The sequence below is a fragment of the Homo sapiens genome, chromosome 14, assembly GCF_000001405.40.
Source record: "Homo sapiens chromosome 14, GRCh38.p14 Primary Assembly".
Taxonomy (NCBI): Eukaryota; Metazoa; Chordata; class Mammalia; order Primates; family Hominidae; genus Homo; species Homo sapiens.
Window position 1 is genome coordinate 20,810,782 of NC_000014.9, and position 25,016 is coordinate 20,835,797.

A 25,016-nucleotide genomic window follows, 5' to 3' on the forward strand; every position below is an offset into this window, starting at 1 on the left:
CCCGACCTCAAGCGATCCGCCCGCCTTGGCCTCCCAAAGTGCTGGGATTACAGGTGTGAGCCATCACACCCAACCAACTCTTCCTCTTTTGTAGGAAGCTCATTTCTGGCCTGCAGAGTCCTCTTCCCTGAATCGTGTGCGCTTAGGCCACTTACTGGCTAATGCTGACCTATGATGGATCAAGGAGCAGAACTGGGCAAGAGGCTACAGTGGAAGTGGCAGAGTCAGAGACCTCCATCTTAAGTTCCCTCCGTCTGGGGACTCTTTCTCTCTTCTGTCTCTCAGTGGCCTCAGACATTAAAGAATTTGGGACAGATACATTTAAGAGTTCATTCTCAGCCATGTCTGAGGAAGTATGTCTGAGTCTGAGGGCGTTTGAAGGTATGTGAGGGGCAGGAATGCAGCTTCAGAAAAGCTGTGCTTCGTCTTCAGTTCTCAGCCTCTCCTTCCTGAGCTCCTTCCCTGTCTGGCTTCTTCCACACATCTATACAGAGACTGTCTGTCTGTCTGTCTTTTATTCTTAAGAATCCAGAATCATTTAGAACCCAGTCAGGGCCAGGCACGGTGGCTCACGCCTGTAATCCCAGCACTTTGGGAGGCTGAGGTGGGCAGATCATGAGGTCAGGAGTTCAAGACCAGCCTGGCCAACATGGTGAAACCCCCGTCTCTACCAAAAATACAAAAATTAGCCAGGCATAGTGGTGCATGCCTGTAATCCCAGCAACTCAGGAGGCTGAGGCAGGAGAATCGCTTGAACTGGGGAGGCAGAAGTTGCAGTGAGCCGAAATCACACCACTACACTCCAGCCTGGGTGACAGAGCGACACTGTCTCAAAAAAAAAAAAAAATGTAGCTCCTATTTAAAAGGACTTCACTCAGTGAGGGTGGATATAGCTGAATCATTTTCTTCGGGAGAGCATCTGCTGGCTCCCCAAAATCTCTTTGCAGAAACTTGTGATAAGCCTGAGTGCGAAGGAATGGTGTGAGGGGGAAACATCCAATTGCAGGAAGGTGAGAAACAAGGAGCTGGAGTCTGGTGGGCTCCAGAAGGTATGAGTGCAACTGGCCTACCTCATGTTCTTGGGAGCCTGAGTCTCCTCCTTAGAAAGTGACTCTGCAGTGAAGACATCAGATTTCTTAGTACTTTTCCCAAAATGCCAACTTCTCTGTCACTGAGCATGACTGGGCTATCCAGGTCCCAAGTTTGAATTTTTGAAGGGAGGACAAACTTCAGAGTTCAAGGTGGTCTCCCCAGACCACAGTCATGTCAGGAAACCGCACCAGTGACTGGCCTGCTGCCAGGCTTCGGTGAGGATATGAAGGGAAGTACATTTTTGCCCTTTTCACAGAGTGCCTGGAAATGAATCCCTGAAATCCTCCTAAAGCCAAAGGCAGCCCTAGACGGTTAGAGCTACACCACACCCAAGGGCTCAGGGCCCCAAGGAACCTCCTCAGAGACAGGCTGTGGGAAGGCCCACCCCTCCCATGTTCTCTCAGGAAACACATCTGCCCCCGTCCCAATCTACACAGTTTTCCTGACTGGAGCAAAGGTCAATTTGAACTGCAGGAGCTTGGGAGATTTTATGATCCTATGGGCTAAAGAGTCTCTTAGGAGACAGTATAGCCCCTCAAGCCCAATCCAAAACTAAGCATTTATGGGCCTCAACTGAGAAACCCCCTCCCCAGTGAAACATTATGCAAGTTTTTCCTAATTTCTGTCTCCCGTCCACATTGCAACGTTTTGCCTCATGTGACAAACCAATTACTGAAGGGGAAAAGGCAACCGTGGCTGTGCTGGCTATCATTCCTGTGTTTATTCCCCTTTTATAAGACTCTCCACCTCTCTGTCCATTAGGCTTCCACTCCCACCCCCAATCCCACCCCACCCCCACCCCACAGTATGAACTGGGAGAGAAAGAGGTTCTGATGCCTGAGCCCTTGGCTGAGGCCCACCAAGCACAGGTTCTACTTTCCCAGACAGTGGCTCTGACTGGCCTGTGAGCACACCAGGTGCAGTCAACAATCTGGTCTCCAGAACACACAGGGGGCCTCCACCTCCTCTGGTGCCACCATCCCAGCCTCCTGACACTACCAGTTTTCCTCACTCTCCATAGGTCCCTTCCCACCCCACAGACCAGCCCTGGTCTTTTAAAATGGAAATCAAATGTTGCCAGGGTGTCTATAGAAAGATAGAGACTTCGTTATCTCTGGTTCCTGATTACAGAAGACCTGATTCCCTTTCAGCCTGGGTTGTTCAGTGGTCTCTTGACTTCATCCATTTTCTGAGAACTTTTCCTATCCCTGACTCAACCCAACACCACCATTCACCTCTAGATCAGGCACCAGTGCCTCTCATCCCTTCCCTAAGGGACAGCCCACCTGCCCCAGCCCCTCTAAGAGCTTATTGCTGAGGTCGTCAAAGTATGAACTTTTGACCAGGACTCCCACGTGAAAGAAAATATGGACATTTACCTTTGAACTCAAGGAACAAAAAGACCCAAGCAATGGAAAGTAACTTCCGCCCATTGGAGGAGACTGAGAGCCGGGGCAGACCAAGGTCAGACAGCACCTTGGCAGCAGAGGTGGAAAGCATCCTCGGTCCCTGGCTTCCCCACTCTGTGGCAGCATTCTCACTATACCATGCTGGCAAGTATGCTTCAAGTGGGGAGACTGCCTCCAGGATGTGCACTCAAAGGGCTGAACTTATGGTGAAACTGATCTCTTCTTTTAGGTCTGGATTTCCCCTAGAGTCCCCCCACATCTCTTCCTGCTGGGAATTGTGGTGGGAGAAAACAGATGGCTTTGCTGCTGACCCCTTCTGAGGAGTTGGAGGATTGGGGACTCCTACTGAGGTCTCATTAGGGGCCCTTCACTGGCGCAGCTGGAGTGTGGGTGAGCAGGTCAGGCCTCCCGCTCTTCAGTCCATGGGGGCATTTGTTGATTCCAATGCGACACTGGAGGAAGGGAAGCCTTCTTAGGGGGACGAGGCCTCTAGGAGGACACCTGCTCCAAGCAGTAGCCTCCCTCTCTTTGAAGAGGTCTCACATGCTGGCTTCATCAAGGAAGCAAGGTCTGGAGGAAAATCATTGCTTAGAAATGTTTCTGGCTGGGCGCAGTGGTGCATGCCTGTAATCCTAGCACTTTGGGAGGCCCAGGTGGGCAGATCACTTGAGGTCAGGAGTTAGAGACCAGCCTGGCCAACATGGCGAAACCCTGTCTCTACTAAAAATACCAAAATAAGCCGGGCGTGGGAGCACATGTCTGTAATCCCAGCCTCTAGGGAGGCCGAGGCAGGAGAATTGCTTGAACCCAGGGGGTGGAGGTTGCAGTGATCTGAGATCATGCCACTGCACTCCAGCCTAGGTGATAGAGTGAGACTCTATCTCAAAAAAAAAAAAAAAGAAAAAAAAAGAAAAAGAAAGCAATGTTTCCTTTCACATCTGCCATCTCCTGCCTCCTCCTTCTGTTAATCTTGAGGACTCTCACAATGGCATGACAGTACCTCTTTTCCCATAGGAGGACATATTGCCAAGGGACAAAGCACATGGATGGGGGAGCCTATCAGGTCTATCAAGGTGAAGAGAGGCCAGTGTTATCTCATTTAGAGAACAAGACTCACATTTGCTTAAATGGAGCCTGTTATCTGTCACTAAATTCAGCCTTCTGACCCATTGTCTGACCTGCTTCCATCACTCCAATCCAATCTGGCTGAATTCCTGCCCACTGAACATGGTTCGTGTCACACACGTCTGTATGAAGGGAGTCCACCAACAGGCTTTATGTGAGCAACAAGGCTGTTTATTTCACCTGGGTGCAGGTGGGCTGAGTCTGAAAAAGGAGTCAGCAAAGGGTGATGGGATTATCATCGGTTCTTACAGGTTTTGGGATAGGCGGTGGAGTTAGGAGCGATGTTTTGAGGGCAGGGAGTGGATCTCACGAAGTACATTCTCAAGGGTGGGGAGATTACAAAGAACCTTCTTAAGGGTGGGGAGGTTACAAAGTACATTGATCAGTCAGGGTGGGGCAGAGACAAATCACAATGGTGGAATGCCATCAGTTAAGGCTATTTTCACTTCTTTTGTGGATCTTCAGTTGCTTCAGGCCACCTGGATGTATACCTGTAGGTCACGGGGGTATGATGGCTTAGCTTGGGCTCAGAGGCCTGACATTCCTGTCTTCTTATATTAATAAGAAAAACAAAACAAACTAGTGGTGAAGTGTTGGGGCGGCAAAAATTTTGGGGGGTGGTATGGAGAGATAATGGGCGATGTTTCTCAGGGCTGCGTCGAGCGGAACTAGGGGTGGTGTGGGAACCTACAGCGGGAGAGATTTAACTGAAGAAAGATTTTGGGGTAAGGGGTGATATTGTGGGGTTGTTAGAAGGAGCATTTGTTGTATAGAATTATTGGTGATGGCCTGGTTGCGGTTTTGTATGAATTGAGAAACCAAACAAAAGACACAAGGTCTGAATAAGAGAAGGAGAAAAACAGGTATTAAAGGACTAAGAATTGGGAGGACCCAGGACGTCCAATTAGAGAGTGTCCAAGGAGGTTCAGTGTAATTACTTGTTTGGTTGGTGAATTTTTGGGCTCTATTTTTGACAGAGTCCTTTTTGCTAAGTTGGAGGCTGAGCTTGGCGAGGTGTGTTTTGAAAAGACCATTAGTCCGTTCTACCTTTCCTGAAGATTGAGGATGGTAAGGGTTATGAAGTTTCCACTGAATACCAAGAGCCTGAGAAACTGCTTGGGTGATTTGACTAATAAAGGCTGGTCCGTTATCGGACTGTATAGAGGTGGGAAGGCCAAACCGAGGAATTGTGTCTGACAGAAGGGAAGAAATGACTGCGGTGGCCTTCTCAGACCCTGTGGGAAAGGTCTCTACCCATCCAGTGAAAGTGTCTACCCAGACCAAGAGGTTTTCTAGTTTCCTGACTCGGGGCATGTGAGTAAAGTCAATTTGCCAGTCCTGGGCAGGGGCAAATCCCCGAGCTTGGTGTGTAGGGAAGGGAGGGGGCCTGAATAATCCCTGAGGAGTAGTAGAATAGAAGATGGAACACTGAGAAGTGATTTCCTTGAGGATAGATTTCCACAATGGAAAGGAAATGAGAGGTTCTAAGAGGCGGGCTAGTGGCTTGTAACCTACATGGAAGGGGTTATGAAACAACGACAGAATAGAATGGGCCTGTGAGGCTGGGAGGTATTGAGGGTAGGAGAGTATATGGGTTTGGCACCACGGGGTGGATAGGCAAGACAATTTGGTTGATAAGGTGCAAATCCTGAACTAACCTGTATAAAAGGCCATGCTGTAACAAGCAACTGATAACAGGCTTTAATCCTTTTAAAGCCTGCTGTGGGATGGGATACTGGTGTTGAGCAGGGTAAGGGTGATTAGGTTTTAATGGGATGACAAGGGGTGCATGATCGGTTGCCAAGGAGGGAGTAGAGGTATCCCATACTTGTGGATTAAGGTGGAGAGATACAAGGGGAAGGATGCGAAGGAGGCTTTGAACTGGGGAAAAGGGTGGCAATGAGGTGTGGCTGTAGCCCAGGAATAGTCAGGGAAGCAGATAATTTAGTTAAAAAGTCTCGACATAATAAGGGAGGTGGGCAGGTGGGGATAACTTAAAAGGAGTGCATAAAAGAATGTTGTCCAAGTTGGCACCAGAGTTGGGGAGTTTTAAGAGGTTTAGCAGCCTGGCCGTCAATATCCACAATGGCTATGGAGGCAAGTGAAACAGGACCTTGAAAAGAATACCTTCTTAAGGGTGGGGGAGATTACAAAGTACATCTATCAGTTAGGGTGGGGCAGAAACAAATCACAATGGTGGAATGTCATCAGTTAAGGCTATTTTCACTTCTTTTGTGGATCTTCAGTTGTTTCAGGCCATCTGGATGTATACGTGCAGGTCACAGGGCATATGATGGTTTAGCTTGGGCTTAGAGGCCTGACAGTTGTCACTTCTCCAGAACAGCCAATCTTTTTTTTTTTTTTTTTTTTTTTTTGAGAGAGAGAGAAAAAGAGCGAGACACAGAGAGATAGAGACAGAAAGACAGACAGACACACACACACACAGAGAAAGAGGTCCAAACAGAGGAAAGGACAGAGGAGAGCAGCTTCTTGCAAGAGAGAGAGAGAGAGAGAGAGAGAGAGAGAGAGAGAGACAGAAACACACACACACACACACACACACACCTCACAGAGGTCCAAACGGAAGAAAGGAGAGAGGAGAGCAGCTCCTTGCAGGAGAGAGAGAGAAAGAGACAGAGAGAGACAGACAGAGAGATAGCCAGAAAGAGAGACAGAGAGAGACACCCAGAGAGACAGAGAGAGAGAGAGAAGGAGAGAGAGACGAGAGAGAAAGATCCCAAAAAATGGAGAAGGGCCAATCTTCAACCTCTCTCTGCCATTCTGGTTCTGCCCCAAACTCAACTCTACTTCCTATTTTTCTTTTTCTTTTACCTATTTATATCTCTCATACAGATGCTAAAAAGCAGACCTCAGCAGAGCTCTGGTTGTTTTATGTGAGCAGAAGCGGGTATCCTACTTAGCACATACACATGTGAGGAAAAGTGTGGGTATCTGTGTTTCTGCACTAAGGTGTGGGATTTGTTTTCTACAAGCCCCACACATAACCCAGCCCCCTCCACAAGCTGGGTCTTGATGCCTTTGCCAGTAGGTCACTTGGTGACTGAGGTCAAGTCTTGTGACCTCCCTGTGTCTTAGTATTATCCCCTAAAGAGTAAAGAACAACAATCTCTAAGATGGCTCCCAGTTAAAACATTGAGTTTTGTTTGTTTTTTGTTGTTGTTATTGTTTTTCTTTTGAGACGGAGTCTCACTCTGTCGCCCAGGCTGAAGTGCAGTGCCACAATCTCAGCTCACTGCAACCTCTGCCTCCCAGGTTCAAGAGATTCTCCTGCCTCAGCCTCCCAAGTAACTGGGATTACAAGTGCCTGCCATCACACCCAGCTAATTTTTGTATTTTTGGTAGAGACAGGGTTTCACCATGTTGGCCAGGCTGGTTTTCAACTCCTGACCTCAGGTGATCTGCCTGTCTTGGCCTCCCAAAGTGCTGGGTGGGATTACAGGAGTAAGCCACCACGCCTGGCCCGTCTGTTTTTTAATGTTATCTCCTTCTAAAGATCTTCCCCTCAATATCTCTAAGGAAGAAAGGTTGGATCTTAATAGGAAATCTAGTTTCTTAAGACTTTTATGCTTCTCACAGAGCCAGAGTTACTTTTGTGAGTGTATTCATCAATTGCCTTTGGTCTAACTGAAAAAACAAACCCCACACCTTAGTGCAGAAACACAGATACACAGAAAGAGACAAAGTTCTCACCTATACCCCTTCCCCCATACTCCTAAATTCCTGTGAAAGACCAGCAAAAAAATGGATTTTTACCCCAGTATGGATTTTGTGTATGTTCACACTAAATACAATTCACAAAGTTTTATCTTTCTATGAAGAAACTAAATGCCACAGTGTATTCACACTTACAGGAATTTAAAGCTTTTATTGTAAAGCTAAGGCAGCATGAAGAGTAAGTGCTGTAATTTAATGTATAAATTCATTCTATGTTGATTTCTATAGTAGGAAAAAGCAACTTTGGTCTGTCTGTGGTTCCATCATCAATTCACTGAGTTAAATAGAAAGCTTCAGGAATATAGTATTAACAGAGACCCCAAAATTACAGATAAATCCAGTAATGGAGCTTACAATACAGAATTAGAGGGTGCTAATTAATGAATTTTGGGAACAAGTCAGCAGTTAATAAATATTCATTAGGAAGTTGCAGTATATATTTCTCTAAGTTACCAAGTGACCTAGATATGGAATATTGAAAAAGATAATTTTGTATCTTTTGTATCTTTTTTAATTCCTGCTAAATTAATAGAAATATACTACTTGTATTTTCATCACCTACAACATTATTAACATTTTAGGGTGTAATTCTCCACACTTTTGTCTATGTGTAAGATTTTATAAAATATGAAGTACTGTAACACTGCTTCAGATTCTGCTTTTTCTCTTCAAATGCATCTGGGGTCCTAGTAATATGTAATTTCTTAACCTGGATAGTGGTGAACACAGATCTGTTTGCTTTGAGCTAACTTATTGAGCTATGTAATTATGTTTTTTCTGTGTGTATATTTCAATTTTTTTAAGTTTATTTAAAAACATATCCTAGGCTGGGCTTGGTGGCTCACGCCGGTAATCCCAACATTTTGGGAGACGGAAGCAAGTGGATTGCTGGAGCCCAGGAGTTCGAGACCAGCCTGGCCAATAGAGGGAGACCTCGTCCCTACTAAAAATTTAAAAAATTAGCCGGGCATGGTGGCTCACACCTGTGGTCCCAGCTACTCAAGACCTGCCTGCGCAGTATAGTGAGACCTTGTCTCTACTTAAAAAAAAAAAAAAATTAAATTAGTGGTCCCAACTACTCAGGAGGCTGAGGTGGGAGGATGGCTGGAACCCAAAAGGGTGAAGCTGCAGTGAGCCATGATCAAACCACTGCATTCCAGCCTGGGCGAGAGAGTAAGACCTTGTCACACACACACACAAAAAATTCCATCCTATATATTCCAAGTCAACATATATCTATATTACTCTAAATGGCTCTATAGTATTTCATGTTATGGATATATCATAATTCATTAAACAAATTCTGTATTTGGGGACATTTATAAGATTTACAACTTGTTACATGTACACTGCCTTCAATAAAAACTCTTCTATGTCTGCATTTATACTCTTGTGTCATAGGGCAGATTCTCTACAAAAATAAACACTGAGATTAAGATGTGCATTTAAGATGTTTACTGCAGGCCGGGCGCGGTGGCTCATGCCGGTGATCCCAGCACTTTGGGAGGCTGAGGCGGGCGGATCACCAGGTCAGGAGATGGAGACCATCCTGGCTAACACGGTGAAACCCCATCTCTACTAAAAATACAAAAAAATTAGCCGGGCGTGGTGGCGGGTGGCTGTAGTCCCAGCTACTCAGGAGGCTGAGACAGGAGGGAGAATGGCGTGAACCCGAGAGGTGGAGCTTGCAGTGAGCCGAGATCGCTCCACTGCACTCCAGCCTAGGCGACAGAGCGAGACTCCGTCTCAAAAAAAAAAAAAAAAAAAAAAAAAGTTTACTGCACAGCAATCTTGGGGCAATATCTGCAGAGGGAGTGAAGGAAGCATTATCGGGCAGAAGAGGTAGGATTTTGATGCAGTCACAACAAAGGCCTTGGCCAATCCCACAGGTATTCTAGCTTTCTTTAGAGCTAGATTGACCTTCAGAGTTGTTCTGAATTAAGGTAAAGGGACCAAGCCTTTATATCCCGTTACCATTTATTAGATGTTGACTGCCCTTGGGGAGGAGGCTTCACTTTTAGCAGGATGGTTCTCTGCCACTGTTACACTCTTGCCAATGCACCACAATGTAGTAGTCTCTCGCTGCCCAAGGCATCATCCTAAGTTCTTTGTCTCATGACCAAGAAAGTTAAGGATCCTGGACACCAAGGGTGAGGTTGGAGTGAAAGTTTAATAAGCGAAAGAAGAAAGCTCTCCGCTGCAGAGAGGGGACCTGGAAGAGGACTGTTGTTTCTACAGTTGAATGCAAAGGCTTTTATAGAAAACCCATGAGGGCTGGGAGTCTCCTTTGCATAAGGGGTGAATGTGTCGTAGCCCCACCGTGTCTTCCTAATGTGCGTGCGGGCCCCTTATTGCACGTGTGTCAGGGGACGGAATTTTCCATTGCAGGCATGTCTAAGCAAGTCACCTGGGTCGCCCTTCTCATGTTTGTGGGCGTGTCTTAGGCAAGCCCCTATGCAAATTCCTGTATCTGTGCCTGCAGGCTGTTGTTTTGTTTGAAAGGATTAAACCAAGGACCCACCCTAACTGCCTGCCTGACTGGGTTTTTTCTTTTCTCCTCTGTCAACACAAAGGGCTATTCCCAGAGAGAAAGAGACTCAGCTGAGAGCTAGCTGTTCATCACCATCACTAGTCAGTGGAGGGAATGAGTGCCGTGTTCCTGAAGTGGGGGAACTGGGACATGCACCACCGCATCCACTACACCTTGCCCAATTACTTCCTTGGCATATATTCCTAGATGTGTTTAGAGAACATGGACTTTTGATAAGGCTTTAGATAATGTCAATTGCCTTCTATAAAAGTGGTATTTCAGCGAGGTGGCTCACGCCTGTAATACCAGCACTTTGAGAGGCCGAGGCGGGCAGATCACGAGGTCAGGAGTTTGAGACCAGCCCGGCCAATATGGCAAAACCCCGTCTCTACTAAAAATACAAAAATTAGCCAGGCATGGTGGCGGGAGCCTGTAATCCCAGGTCCAGGGAGGCTGAGGCAGGAGAATCGCTTGAAACAGGGAGGTGGAGGTTGCAGTGAGCTGAGATCGTGCTGTTGCACTCCAGCCTGGGCAACAAGAGCAAGACTCTGTCTCAAAAAAAAAAAAGGTATTTCACTTCTAATAGGAGAGCAAGAGACCATTTTTTCTTCTGTGTCAAACAATAGCGTGCCCTTGCCTGCTCTTTTATCTGTGATTCCACAGCATTTCACACTTTATTATACCATGTCTCACATTCAGTGGGAATTCTTTCTTCTCAGTCTCCCAAATTACACTGTTTTCAAGAACAGAAAGGGTGTTTTATTCACACATATCTCCTGATCATGTGCCATGTATACAGTTGGTCTCCAATTAATACATGTCAAGTAAATTAATGTCTCATTGTAGAAGGCTACGGAGTCACAGAAGATTAACTGACTAGAAACAAAGAAAATACTATACAAAAAATATTAGACATGGTGCAGAATCAAAAGGTGGTTGTGGAAGAAATGGAATGTGTTTTTCATGAAGGAGGAATGTAACTACCCAGTGGTTTCACCTTGCCCACAGCCTAGACAGAGCCAGTTTATCAAGACAGGGGAATTGCAATGGAGGAAGAGTAATTCACACAGAGCCGGCTGTGTGGGAGACCGGAGTTTTATTATTACTCAAATCAGTCTCCCCAAGCATTCAGGGAAGCAGAGTTTTTACTGACAACTTGGTGGGTGGGGGGAAGCCAGTGAGCCAGGAGTGCTGACTGGTCAGTTAGGAAACAAGACCATAGGGAACTGAAGCTGTCCTCTTGCACTGAGTCAGTTCCTGGGTGGGGGACACAAGATCAGATGAGCCAGTTTATCAATCTGGGTGGTGCCAGCTGATCCATCAAGTGCAGGGTCAGCAAAATATCTCAAGCACTGATCTTAGGAGGAGTTTAGGGAGGGTCAGAATCTTGTAGCCTCCAGCTGCATGACTCCTAAACCATAATTTCTAATATTGTGGCTAATGTTAGTCCTACAAAGTGAATCTAGTCCCCAGGCAAGAAGGAGGTCTGCTTTAGGAAAGGGTTGTTATTGTCTTTGTTTTAAACTACAAACCATAAAGCAAGTTTCTCCCAAAGTTAGTTCAGCCTACCCCGGGAATGAACAAGGACAGCTTAAAGCTTAAAAGCAAGATAGAGTTAGTTAGGTTAGATCTGTTTCACTGTCTCGGTCATAATTTTGCAAAGGTGGTTTCAGAAAGGTGTCATGATGTGTACAATATCATCTGAAAAAGAATAAATGAGAAGCCTAGCTCTCCAATAAAAAGGCAACAATTAATGACTGCTACTGTAGAAAGGTGAATTTTCAAAAACAGAGAAGTGGTGTAATAAATATAGCTCAGGTAATATAAAAGGTCAGGGAAAAAAAGTGTGTTTTTTCCCCAGCTCTGCTACTTATAACTTGATGAGACTTTTCGATAAATCTTTTTGGAAGCTCTTAAAAACTACCAATGCCAGCCAGGTACAGTGGCTTACGTGTGTAATCCCGGCACTTTGGGAGGCCAAGGCGGGCAGAACACTTGAGGTCAGGAGTTTGAGACCAGCCTGGCCAACATGGTGAAACCCCTAGTTATAAATAAAGTTTTGGTGCCACAAAAGAAATAGCACTCGAATATAAAATGTTCTTTTTAATTCTCAGCAAGGCAATGTACTTCTATAGAAGGGTGCACCCTTACAGATGGAGCAATGGTGAGCACACACTTGGACAAGGGAGGGAAAGGGGTTCTTATCCCTGACGCATGTGGCCCCTGCTGCTGTGTCGTTCCTCTATTGGCTAGGGTTAGAACGCACAGGCTAAACTAATTCCGACTGGCTAATTTAAAGAGAGTGACAGGGTGAGTGGTTTGGTGGGGAAAATGGTTATGGCAGAGGAAGTAATCGGAATGAGTCAGGGTGGAGCAGGTAATTGGAATGAGTCAGGGTGGAGCAGGTAATCGAAAAAGGTTGCTTTACGAGGAAGTTAAAAGTAGAAGGCAAAGAATTGAACATACGAACATACTGACATACTGATTCTTTGAAGAGAAATTTAGAACTCATATCTAACAACCCCTCCTCTTATATTTCCTTACAGTTTTTTCTCTTCAAAATTCTTTAACATGTCTCGGCTTAGTTGTTTTGCTTGATTTTCCAAAGGAAGAAGCTTCTCTGGATAAGGTGGAGGATAGTTAAGGGAGGTTTTAGTGAGTGCCATTTTTATGAGCCTCTGCACCAACCCATGGATGCATGGTGTGACACAGCACCCGACAAGAATAAGTACACCCATTACGGCTGTGAGGGAAGTAAGAATTGAGGCTATTATCCTTTTCCATTTACTGAACCACTTTTCTAGCCCTCCTATAAAGGGGTCATTTACCCCTGAGTTGTTGGCTAACTCATTGGACACAGCAGTCAGACCTTGCAATGCCTTTGTTGTACTTCCATCAGGGGCGGTGTTGTTTGGGATGAAGGTACAACATTGAGTTTTAATCATGATGCAAATTCCTCTTCATTCTGCTAATATGTCTAAGGCTATCCTATTTTCCCAAGCCATCTGGCTAGTAGCCTCTAATTGCTCAGCTATTCCTTTAACAGCAACTCTAGTGTAGTTAATAAATTGCTGTTGGTTGTAGTAGATGTAGTTTATCCAATCTACATTTTTATTAATTGTCCCCCACCAAAATATTGACTCAAATCCTGCAGCTCTTTGATTTCAGGTTTTAAATTGATCTGGTATTCCCCATGGGATTCCAATTGCATTTAAATAGATGTGAGTCGAAAGACCCGTAAGTGGCTTCTCTTGCTTTACAATGTCTTATTTTTCCTTCCTCCGATTGATGAAATGCCAGGGTGAAAAGGATAGCCAATTGTACTAAAGCACAAGTGCCACTCCAGTTATTTGGCAGAGCTTCCGGTAAAGGTCCACAATACCACCACACATCCGCTAAGGGATGAACAAAGGCTGACTGATTTGTAAGCTCTTGGAAAGTCTTAAACTCACTGCATCCCTTCAGGTCTCCAAGGAACGCTAAGTTTCCTCCCTGTCATGAGAGACACTAAGTGAACTTAGTGTTGGGAGATGAAACACTCCCAACATCCCCGAGGGGATGGCCCTCGGGGGCTGACCCACAGGGTGCCAGACTTCAGGATATAGCAGAGAGAGAGAGCATGGCATGACTTGTTACTCCAGGCTGTAGAATCCTGGAAAAGAGCTACCATGCAGCCCATGCCTGGTTGACTGGAGGACCACCCTAGTGGAAAGGGGACAATCTGGGCCTCTGGCCTGCCGTGCACACAAGCATAACAATTGCTTTTGTTTAACGTGCAGATGGAATATTTGATCCATTCCAACCAGGCATTTGCATCTTGGTATCCCGTCTTAATTGCCAGTTTGTTTTAAGTCTTTAACTTCTATGATAGCTATCTTGGTCTTGTCATTAGATGGAGGAGGAGCAATTGTTCCACTGTGAGAGGGTTTGGAAGAAGGCTTAGAGGAAGGTGCAGGTGGTGGGGGATCAAAGAAACACATTGCAAAGAATCCAGTAGGGTCTGTCCCTGAAACCTCAGCCCCCATACCATAAAACTGACTTAAAGAAGGGAACCAGCTTAGAAAAGTGGAAGAACTTTGAGGGTTTGAGATAATAACCTGTAGAGGATGGCACTGGTTTACCTGACAGTTGGGTGGCAGGGCTGTCCCTCTAGTAAAACGAATGTATGGTTTTAGGAAATTACAAAAACCAGTTGGGACAGTCTATCCTTGCTCTTTAGTGGTCCACAGAACGTTGGACCAACTACGGCATAAAAGCTCTACATCGGGGGGCAAGACTCCTGGTTGACATTGGGGTCTTTATCAAAATCTCCCCAGATTAAATGGTCCCAGTTCACTAATGCCCAGTCTGAGGAGAGTCAGGAGGGACAGAGGTACTTTTCTGAAGTACAGAGCTGTCTTTGACTTGGCCAATCCCCACAGGGTATAACAAGGCAAGCATCTAATGCAATAGCTTGAGGCGAAATTGACTTGGTTATGTTAATAACTAGATGGTCAGCAATAGAGTGAGGAAAGAAGAAAGAGTAATAGAATAGATGAAAGAGAGTTAAATTTTTCTTAGCTTTAGTTTGGTAGGGTTTTCCTCTGGGACTATGGCCCACGACTCTGGAGGGGGTGGTGCTTTCTTGACTAGGGTGTGATGAGTCCATCCCCTTTCCGCTGTATGAACAGCAGTCTCGGTGGTTAGCAGCACAAGGTAGGGTCCTTCCCAGGCTGGCTCGAGTTTTCCTTCTTTCCACCCTTTGATGAGAACGTGATCCTCAGGCTGGTGCTGGTTTACCGGAAATTCTAGGGGTGGTACCTGTGCTAAAAGACTTTTAGTTTTGAGGGCAAGGAAAGTGGAAGATAAACCAAGTATAAAATTTCTAAGAAATCGATCTTTTGTTTTAAATGTGGGAACATCAGCAGTGGACTTTAGAGTCCTTGGTGCCTTCTTACTGAGAAATTTCCTTTAGCACCTATTTTTATTAGTTTTTAGACCAAAGAAAGCCAAATACCATTTTATATTTGACAATGCTTCCTGTATGACTTTTATACCACGTAAGCTAAATTTCACCTTTATATTAGTGTGTTATTAATGTTAAACTTAATTTTAATAAAATCTTGTAGACATATTTATCTAATTCTTAATGTCTGACCGTAATGTAAGATTTTTATAGACTCTTTTTAACCTTCTATAATTTTGGTTAAAGAGCAGGTTAGTGCTTTAAGAAAAACCTGTTGTGCTTTTATATTAATGTCCAGTTCACAGAAAAACTAGATTATACCCCTTTAACTTTAGCCAATATGCTTACACACAGAATTTCCTTTACAATTAATGTTTCAGAACTTGCTTAAACCTTTATAACCAGATATATTTTTTTAACCTTTTAATATAGGTAAAAATCCACATTCTTATGCCTCCTTATAATACTTTTACCAAAGGTATATCTTACTTTCCTTACACACCTTGCACATAAACTGTTTCTTCAATAGTTTTACATTCAGGAGGCCTAATTACTTTTAAATTATACAACATTTCTTGCATAAACTCCCTTTTACACCTTTTTTTTTCATGACTTTCACAGACAATTCTTCAACATGCCTCAACTTTTTGACTTGTTGCAAACATCCCTTTCTTTAAACAATCAGTTAATTTATCTTAGGACAAGAATTTACCATGTAACATTCCTTTTCATAAATTCTCCCCACCCCCTTTTTTTTTCTCAAAGATGATAACCATTCTTTTCCAAAGCGAACTTCCTTCCTGTCTGTGGACTAGACTGTCTAAGGCCACAAGGTTAGAAGTTAGGATAATACATACACTGCTAACTTTTATCAGACTTTACTTTTATTGAAAACCTTTTAAGTTTGGGATTTCAAGTATTCTTTGCCATTAATAAGACCTCATTCAGTCCATATTAACTTAGAATTGTATAGATGGCTCCTTCCTGATTTGTAAGTACTTTAAGGCTTGGCTGAGTGCAAACAGCTTGCACGTTTGAGCAGACCAATTATTAGGCAATTTTCCTAACTCTGCTTCTAGAAGAATTTCCTTGTCACTTAGTGAATACCCATTGTGTCTTTTTCCCTCAATCACCGGGAGCAACCATCTATGGTCCTGTCCTGAAGGGAGTTCCTCCTAGGTCTGGTCAGACCTTTGTATGGTAATTAAGATTTAGATCCCCTGTTAGGAAACCTGCTGGGTTAAGGGAATTTTCAGTGGTTAATGTTGAGTCATCTTTTTCTACAGAATAGCCTCACACTTTAAGGTTCTTGAGTCAGTAAGCTACCTTTTTGCCTTTTTTTTTTTTTTTTTTTTTTTTGGACTTAGGATAGTTCTGACCTGATGAGGTTTGCTCACAGTGAGGTTTTCTCTAGAAGTTATTTTTCTACTTTCTTCTGTTAGCAAAGAAGTTGCCACTACAGATTGAATGCATTTGGGCCATCCACAGGTTACTGGGTTAAGGATTTTTGATTAGGAAGGCTACGGGTTGTCAGTGGCCTTAGTGCTTTCAGGCTATACCCTTGTTTACACTGACAACAAGGTGGTATTGGAGCGTTATAGGGTCACGGAGAAGACCTTCAATTACTAATTATAGGTTTTAAATTTACCCTGGCTTTTAAACAAATATAATACACTCTTTTCTCTTTACTACTTCTCTCTCTCTCTCTTTGACTCTGTCTCTTTCTCTTTGACTCCCTCTTTGTCTTTCTCTTTCTCTCTCTCTTTGACTCTCTGTCTCTTTCTCTCTGACCTCCTCTCCCCGTTTCTCTTTCCTCTTTGCTGGTCTTTCCCTGCCTCTGCCAGCTGCTTATGCTGCCATTCTCCCCTCTCCTTCCCCTTCCCTTTCCCCTAGGGGAGGGACCAGCGGGAGTGGAACTACTCTTTCTTCCCCCGAGGGGAAAGGAAAGGGGAGTTCTGAATGTTTTTCTTACTACCAGAGGTTTGTATGAGGTTCAACCCCCTGAAATTTGCAGAAGGCTCAACCCCTTAAACCAGGGGTGTCTTGCCTTGCTGCTCTGGAAGGTTGACCTGTTTCCTCCCTTTCCCCCTCTGAAGGTCCCTTGCACACTTCCCACTCATGTTGTCCTCTCTGGCTGCTCCCCAAAGGGAGAATTAGGCCCCTCTTAGTGTTGGCTCACTGGTATAAATCCCACAGAAGGATCTGCCCTAAGCCACAGGAGGCTTACAGAACCGCGGAGAGGACCCACTCACTCCATCCAGCAGTAGGACTTGTCATAATCCACACGAACGACACGGCAAGTAGGGTTGTTTGTGATCATTCATACACACACATTTAGCCCTCCAGAATTTGACCACCAAGGAAGTACTTTACCGGCTCCTGCGGCTTCTCCTTCCCTGGTCTACGCACAGTCATCACTGCAGTATGTGAGAATCCTTTAAGTCAGGTTGCTAGCCAGTTTCTTTCTGCGTTGCTGAGAGCGCCGGTTACTCCTCACACTGGGTGGGTCCCACACTGGGTGGGTCCTGATTTCTCACCTCTGAGGCCACCACAAGGGGGCGGGGCATGCCTTCTCATGAGAGAGAACCAGAGCCCGCCCCCCGGAGGGGAATGTAATCACTGGCAAAACCCCAAATTGTTAATAAAGTTTCGGTGCCGCAAAAGAAATAGCACTCGAATGTAAAATTTTTTTTTTAATTCTCAGCAAGGCAATGTACTTTCTACAGAAGGGTGCACCCTTACAGATGGAGCAATAGTGAGTGCACATTTGGACAAGGGAGGGGAAGGGGTTCTTGTCCCAGACACACGTGGCCCCTGCTGCTGTGTCTTTCCCCTATTGGCTAGGGTTAGACGGCACAGGCTAAACTAATTCTGACTGGCTAATTTAAAGAGAGTGACAGGGTGAGTGGTTTGGTGGGAAAAAATGGTTATGGCAAAGCAGGAAATTGGAATGAGTCAGGGTGGAGAATGAGCAGGTAATCTGAATGAGTCAGGGTGGAGAATGAGCAGGTAATCTGAATGAGTCAGGGTGGAGAATGAGCAGGTAATCTGAATGAGTCAGGGTGGAGAATGAGCAGGTAATCTGAATGAGTCAGGGTGGAGCAGGTAATTGGAATGAGTCAGGGTGGAGCAGTTAATCGAAGAAGGTTGCTTTACGAGGAAGTTAAGTTTAAAAGTAGAAGGCAATTGAACATACTGACATATTGATTTTTTGAAGATAAATTTAGAACTCATATCTAACACCCTCTCTACTAAAAATACAAAACATTAGCCGGGCATGGTGGCAGGTGCCTGTAATCCCAGCTACTCTGGAGGCTGAGGCAGAAGAATCACTTGAACCCAGGAGGCAGAGGTTTCAGTGAGCCAAGATCGCACCATTGCACTCCAGCCTGGGTGACAAGAGCGAGAAAAAAATTAATTAATTAATTAATTAAATTTAAAAAGTCAAATAAACTACTGATGCCTGGATCCCACCACCAGAGTTTCCTGAGATAGTTAGTGTGGGGTAGACCTGCTAATCATGATGTTCAGATCTCTCCTAGTAATCTAGATGTTCAGCCAGTGTTGAAATTTACTTTCATAGGCATGGTGGCTTATGCCTGTAATCCCAGCACTTTGGATCACCTGAGGTTAGGAGTTCGAGACCAGCCTGGCCAACATGGTGAAACCCCGTCTGTACTAAAATTACAAAAATTAGCCAGACATGGTGGTGGGCACCTGTAATCCCAGCTACTCAGGAGGCTGAGACTGGAGAATCTCTTGAACCTGGGAGGCAGAGTTTGCATTGAGCCAAAATCGCACCACTGCACTTCAGCCTGGGCAATAGGGTGAGACTCTGTCTCAAAAAAAAAGAAATTTACTTTCACCAATTTACTTTACCTCGTGTGTAAAACAAAAGAGGGAATAAAAAGATTTTAAAATGAGGCTGTTAGTATAGATCTCTAAATTCTCTTAAAATTCATTTGTTCCATAATTCTCTGAACTCAAGTGAAAAAGACAAGCAAATCCCCCAAATCCATAGGGCTGCTTGTGTGCTGTGTTTGGGGAAAAAGATCTGACCAAGGTTCTAGCTACCAAAGAGTTCTCTACTGAGTGAAAGGTGAGCTCATTTCTTTCGTGTGTCCTCTCACAGCAGAAGAGGTTCTGAATGTCTTCCCAGAATCTTGCAGGACTCTGTGATACTAGAAGTAGAAGCTGCAATGTTTAATGGGAGAAAGACTGAAAATAGGTTTCAGATACACAAAGATCTTACATAATGAATGATTCATGGCCAGTGAGAACAAGACAATATAGATGTATTCTAATGCATCTTTCTTATCTTGGTGGGGGGCTCTTACTGGGCATAATCTCTTGAATTGAAAATAAACTTTTACCCTTACTTGACATATAACTAATTGTATGGCAATGAACACAAGAATTGAGTCTTACACTTACCTATGAACACAAGCATTGAGTCTTACACTTACCTATGTACTCCCCCCATGAATCAAATATAGTTCTAGGAACAGAGTGGGTAAACACATTTTTCTTAAATTAAATTGAAGTTTACCTATTAGTACAACAGTATAGATCTGAAGTCCAAGGTAAACGATGAATCAGACAATTAAACATGGCGATAGCTATAGTTTGATCAGCCTAGATTTTCATTGTCTCTCTGTTTGGGGGAGATAATAGCTTAGTAATGGTGTCTGAAATTGTATTCTGGGTCAGACTAGATTGTAGTGATGATACTTCATGTGAGTTACATTCTCTGGGGTACCTCCTTTGATAAAAATACTACAAGTAACACCAGATTAACAGATTTTATTTACCAATTGCTATTTTTTTTTAAAGAGACAGGGTCTCAGTATGTAGCCCCGGCTGGTCTCAAACTCCTGGGCTCAAGCGATACTCCTGCCTCAGCCTCCCAAGTACCTGGGATTCCAGGCACATGCCACCATGCCCAGTGTATTTTCTAGTTCTTTAAAGTGATTAGGGAGTCCCAGGAACACATCATCCTCAGAAAAAGGCTAACTCATCTTAAGGTTCTACATTTGTCCTGATTTGTGTAGACATCCCTCCTCTCAAAGTGTGCAACAGGAGAAAGGTTTTTAACGTGTCCTTTTCTGGGACTTTATCTTACTATTTATCTTTTATTTCATAGCCATTTTTTATGTAAGGTTCTTGTATCAGTTCAAACCCTGAGAACGTGCCAACAGACAACTTGAAGTGGTGTGGAGCAACATGCTGTTTTAATGAGCGCCTGGGTGCAGGCGGGCTGAGGCCTAAAATGGTGTCAGCACCAAACTGAGGAAGAGGCAGGGGTTTTATGGTCTCCTATAAACAGGAAGTGTCCCAGTTTGATGTGACCGCTACGTAGTACCCGGATGGCCTCTTTCTCGATCTTCAGGGTACGTGTCTTCCAGCCAGCTCTCTTCCTGCTTCTCCTATCTTGCTGGCACACGCTGCTGAAGCAAGCAGCCTTGCGCCTTGGGACTGGGCCTGAGAAGGGAGGAGTTACTCATCCCTTCAAGCTTTCGGGCCTCAGGGAGAATCTCATATTCCTGTCTATTTGGTTATAGAAAAAAGGGAAAAGGGATTACTTTCTCAATAACTACTTCAGGCGCGACACAGTGGGTGGTGAGAGCACCCTGAGAAAAGAAAACTTTAATTTTCGGGGGTATTCTTGAAAGATGGGTTGGTATCTACTGTGTCATTGTAGCAGGAGCACTGTCTGCATTGTCTGGAGACACATCTGTGCCTGCAAGACAGTTATGTTGAGAGGACAAGGAATTGTTGACAGGGAGAGGCATGGCCTTATTTGCTGCTTTACGAATGAAAGACCGTGTCTGGATTAAGGAAGGGAGGTAATTCTTGAGTGGCTCCAAGTCTGGTAAGGATGGAGGCCTTAAGACAAAATTTCAGCCATACATGATTTTGAAGGGACTATAAAAAGAGGGTGCTTTTGGTGTTGTGTGGAGTCTCATGAGGGTGAAAGGGAGATTTCTTGTCCATGACTGATGGGTTTCAAGAGCTAGCTTGCTGAGTTGAGCTTTAAGGACAGAGTTGACTTTTTAAACTTTGCCTGAAGATTGAGGCCTGTAAGGTGTGTGGAGAACCCATTTTATTCCTAAGGATGTAGAAATGCCTTGAGTAACTTGGCTTTAAAGTGGGCCCATTGTCGAACTGGATGGATGTTGGGAATCCAAAATGGGGAATTATATGCATGATGAGAGTTTGTGTGATGACATTTGTACCTTCTGAACTTGTTGGGAACACTTCTACTTACCCAGAGAAAGTACAGACAAAGACTAGGAGATAGCGGAGCCATTTATCGGGTGGCGATGTGAGTGAAGTCTACTTGCCAATCTTGCCCGAGTACCTGGCCCTGGGCTTGGTGGGTAGGAAAAGGCAGTGGCCAGAGGGAGCCCTGGGGTGACACTGAGTGGCAGATAGAGCAGGACTGGATGATTTTTTTTAACATGGCTGGAAAGGTGAGGACAAGAGAGAATAGGGTGGAGAAGTTGTAAGAGAAGTTTGTAACTGACATGGAAAGGGTTGTGGAGACCTTGGAGGATAGGGATTATTTGAGAGTGAGGAAGAATGAAGCGCCCTTCCTTGACATACCATGGTCCTTGCTTTTGAAGGTTTTGGGCCTGGAAGTCCTCCTTTTCTTTTGAGGAGTAAAGAGGAGAGAACAAGGACAGGGACAGAGCGTGGCTGGGTTTAGATGGGAGCTGGTTAGTACGGTGATGTGGGGAGTTTCTATGAATAGAGCATATAGTTGGAGGAGCTGTGGGGCAGAGATGAGACTTAGTACACTGAGCTAGAATATCTTTGATGTTTTGGGTTGAACAAACTGTTAGGTTGGCATGGAGAGATAGTTTTAGGCTTTTAAGGGTGAGGACAGCAGCTGCCACCAATGCTTGGAGACAGGCAGGCCATCCAAGAACTGTGGCTTCAAGCTGTTTAGAGAGATGGCAACAACCTGGAGGGTGGGTCCTTTAGGCTGGGTTAGAACACCCAGTGCAACTCCATGCCATTCATCGGTGTAGAGGGAAAAAGGTTTGGTGAGGTCTGTGTCTGGGCAAGTGAGGACGGGGGCTGAGGTGAGAGCCTTCTGGAGTAGACAGAAAGGTTGGGTAATAGGCTGTGCAGGGTTTAAAGGCTCACGGAGGGGGCCTTTAGCGGCTTGGTATAACCGTTTGTCAAGTAGAGTGAAGGAGGGAACCTCGAGGCTAAAATATCCTGCTAGTCCTAGAAAAGAGAGAATTTCTTGCTTAGTTTGTGGAGGTGGGAGGGACCGGAGGAGGGATATGCCATTGGTTGTGAGCCTTCGGGTTTCTGGGGCAAGGGCTAAACTTAGGTAGGTGACTGAAGGGGTGCATATCTGTGCTTTCTTAGGGGAGACTTGATACCTTCGTTCTGCCAGGAAGTTTAAAAGAGAGATAGTATGGGTGTTGCAGTTTTTTTTTGAGAGGGGCTACCCAGGAGCAGATCATTAGCATATTGAAGGACAGTGGCCCGTTTTAGGGATAAGGTACAGAGATTGCGAGCAAGGGCCAGTCTAAAAAGGTGGGGGCTGTCTCTGAAACCTTGAGGTAGCACGCACCAGGTGAGCTGACGTGAAAGGTGGGTGTCGGGGTTTTCCCACATAAAGGCAAAGAGGTTTTGGGAATCAGGGTGTAAAGGAATTGTGAAAAAAAGCAACCTTTAGGTTTAGAAGAGAAAAATGGGTGGTATTGGAGGGAACTGAGGAAAGTAAAGTGTATGGGTTAGGAACTGCTGGACATACTGGGAGTACAGCTTGGTTAATGAGCCTGAGGTCCTGGACTGCGTGATTAAGTTCCATCTGGCTTTTTAACAGGTAGAACTGGTGTGTTAAAAGGGGGGTCTGTTGGGCGGAGTAGGTGACAGGCAAGGAGGTGAGAAATGATAGGCTTTAGGCCTATGAGAGCTGTTAGGGGGATGGGATACTGCTTCTGTGATAGGAACTGGGCTCCTTAAGGGTAACGTGGACGGGGCTGTGGTGTTCTGCGACTGAGGGTGTGGAAGTATCCTAAACAGCAGGGTTAACTACGGTTGGGGGATAAGGAAAAGTTGCATGTTTTAATATGGGAGGTTGGAGGAGTAGAAGAAAGTTAGAAGCTCCGGAGGGGTCTGGGTTGATGCGTTGGGTACCATGGAGAACGTGGAGGTGGAGAGTAGTGTGGAGTTTTGAAAGGATGTCTCTGCCTAGGAGTGGAGTTGGGCAAGAGGGCAGGACTAAGAAAGAGTGAGTGAAGGAAAAGGTGTTCAGGGAGCGGAACAGTGGAGGGGGGCTCGGGGTTTGGAGACTTCTTCATCAATTCCTACAACAGAGACTTGGGAGGGCTGGGTGGGTCCTGAAAATTTAGGTAAAGTAGGGTAGGTTGCCCGGTATTAATAAAAAAAAAAACATACTGTCCTACCTGCCACCATCAGGGTTACCCTTGGCTCAGATGAAGCGATGGTAGTTGCCAGGGCGTCCATTCCAGGGCACCGTCAGTCTTCAGCAGCAAGGCCGATGAGATCCCAGTAGGAGGTTTTGGTCGGCTCAGGAAGGGATGGGGGCAGTCCTTGCGGGGGCTGCTCACAGTCCAACTTCCAGTGGGGTCCTCTGCAGAGGGGGCATGGCCTGGTGGGCTTACCTGGGTTTGGGCATTGTCTGGACCGGTGGCTTTCATTGCCACACTTGAAATAGGCACGAGGTGGAGGTGGATTGCTAGGAGGCCTCCATGTGGAGCTGCAGCCCCGTGGGCCTGCAGGGCCCCTGATGGCGGAGGCAAGCATTTGAAACTGTGCCTGTTTTTTGCCTTTTACTTTCCTCATTATGATTGTTAAAGACTTTGAAGGCTAAATTAAGAAGGTCTTGTGGGGTTTGAGGGCCGTCATCAAGCTTCTGAAGCTTGCACTGAATATCAGGGTGGATTGGGAGATGAAGTGAAGGTTTAAAATAGTGGTTCCTTCTAGGTTGGCTGGATCTAGGTTGGTATACTTTCTCCTGGCTTCAGTTAAACGAGAGAGAAAAAGGGCTGGGTTTTCGTCAGGACCTTAGGTGATTTCTGAAAGTTTTTCATAGTTGACTGCGTCTTGAGTCCTGCAAGGAGACACACAATTATACGGTCTTGACAGCAGCGTCCAGGGGCCCCATCTTGATAATCCTAGTGGGGGTCCTGGCTGAGGACTGCCTTTGTACCAGTGGGTTGGGCAGCCCAGTCATTAAGTGTATCAGCATGTGCCTGAGCTAGGGCCCAGATATGGTCTTGGTTTTCTGGGGTGAGGGTGGAAGAGAGGGTAATGTAGAGGTCATGCCAAGCTAGTTTATAAGACTGGGTAAGGTACTGAAACTTCCTAATATAAGAGGTAGGGTCTTCTGGAAATGAGTCTTTTGTTAATTTGAGAATGATCAGTGAGGGAGAAGGGAACATGAATTTTAACAATACCTTTAGCTCCTGCTACTTCCCGAGGGGGGCACTCTAGCACTGGCGCTGAAGTAAGGTTGGGACATGGGCCAAAGATGATACCCAAGCAAGTATGGGTGGGAGAGAAGGAAGAAGCCAGAAGTGGTTGGTTCCTGCTGAGGGTTTGAAGGGGGAAGGGGGGTTGAGTTGATAGGCAGTGGAGGATAGATAGGGGCTTAAGGTGATGGGATGGGTTTATAGGCCTCAAGAGAGGGCAGTGAGGAAAGAGAATGGGTACAGGCAATGCTAGAGTTGACCTGAGAAGGGGGGCGGGGTGTAGGAAGGGAAGTGGGTACGTTTGGAGGTGATGCCATCTGGGAAGATGGCAGCTGAGAAGACAAAGAAGAGGCTTGGGAGGTTAAAGAAGACGGTTGAGAGGGAAAGGTAGGGGCTGGGAGGGGTGGACAGCAGTCTGCTGGACCCAACGAGGAAAAAGAGGTAGGGTCAGGAGAAGAAAGGCGATCAGGGCGGCAAGAATGGAGGAGAAGGATTTGAACAGGTAAGCAAGAATTGTAGAGTTCGGGTTGTGATCTGAGTGCAAAAAGGCCTGGACATAAGGAATTTCTCCCCATTTCTCCAGTCGTTGGCAATAACTGCTTAAATCAGTTAAAACTGTGAAGTCGAGTGCTCCATTTGCAGGCCATTTGGACCCATTATCCAATTCATATTGTGGCCAGACTGAATTACAAAAAAGACAAGGTGCTTAGGGCAGATATCTT

At 45.3% G+C, this 25,016-nt stretch overlaps 6 annotated features.

Moving 5' to 3' along the window:
- Window positions 2,988-3,488: an enhancer, noted in NCBI's record as "H3K27ac hESC enhancer chr14:21281928-21282428 (GRCh37/hg19 assembly coordinates)". NCBI's record gives its function as "activates a minimal SCP1, AML or CMV promoter by ChIP-STARR-seq in naive H9 embryonic stem cells {active_cell/tissue: H9 hESC(naive)}" and the evidence as "EXISTENCE:reporter gene assay evidence [ECO:0000049][PMID:30033119]".
- Window positions 9,555-10,138: a transcriptional cis regulatory region, noted in NCBI's record as "candidate enhancer chr14.61 targeted for multiplex CRISPR interference". NCBI's record gives its function as "positively regulates RNASE1 gene expression with high confidence in K562 cells {active_cell/tissue: K562}" and the evidence as "EXISTENCE:mutant phenotype evidence [ECO:0000015][PMID:30612741]".
- Window positions 9,709-10,003: an enhancer, noted in NCBI's record as "tiled region #8185; HepG2 Activating non-DNase unmatched - State 22:ReprW, and K562 Activating DNase unmatched - State 5:Enh". NCBI's record gives its function as "activates a minimal TATA promoter and a strong SV40 promoter by Sharpr-MPRA in HepG2 and K562 cells {active_cell/tissue: HepG2 | K562}" and the evidence as "EXISTENCE:reporter gene assay evidence [ECO:0000049][PMID:27701403]".
- Window positions 10,949-11,243: an enhancer, noted in NCBI's record as "tiled region #4676; K562 Activating DNase matched - State 5:Enh". NCBI's record gives its function as "activates a minimal TATA promoter and a strong SV40 promoter by Sharpr-MPRA in K562 cells {active_cell/tissue: K562}" and the evidence as "EXISTENCE:reporter gene assay evidence [ECO:0000049][PMID:27701403]".
- Window positions 15,855-16,055: a silencer, noted in NCBI's record as "peak2113 fragment used in MPRA reporter construct". NCBI's record gives its function as "represses an SCP1 promoter by STARR-seq MPRAs in K562 erythroleukemia cells {active_cell/tissue: K562}" and the evidence as "EXISTENCE:reporter gene assay evidence [ECO:0000049][PMID:32103011]".
- Window positions 17,279-18,478: an enhancer, noted in NCBI's record as "BRD4-independent group 4 enhancer chr14:21296219-21297418 (GRCh37/hg19 assembly coordinates)". NCBI's record gives its function as "activates an origin of replication core promoter dependent on BRD2, P300/CBP, MED14 and CDK7 cofactors, and independent of BRD4, by STARR-seq in HCT116 cells {active_cell/tissue: HCT116}" and the evidence as "EXISTENCE:reporter gene assay evidence [ECO:0000049][PMID:35650434]".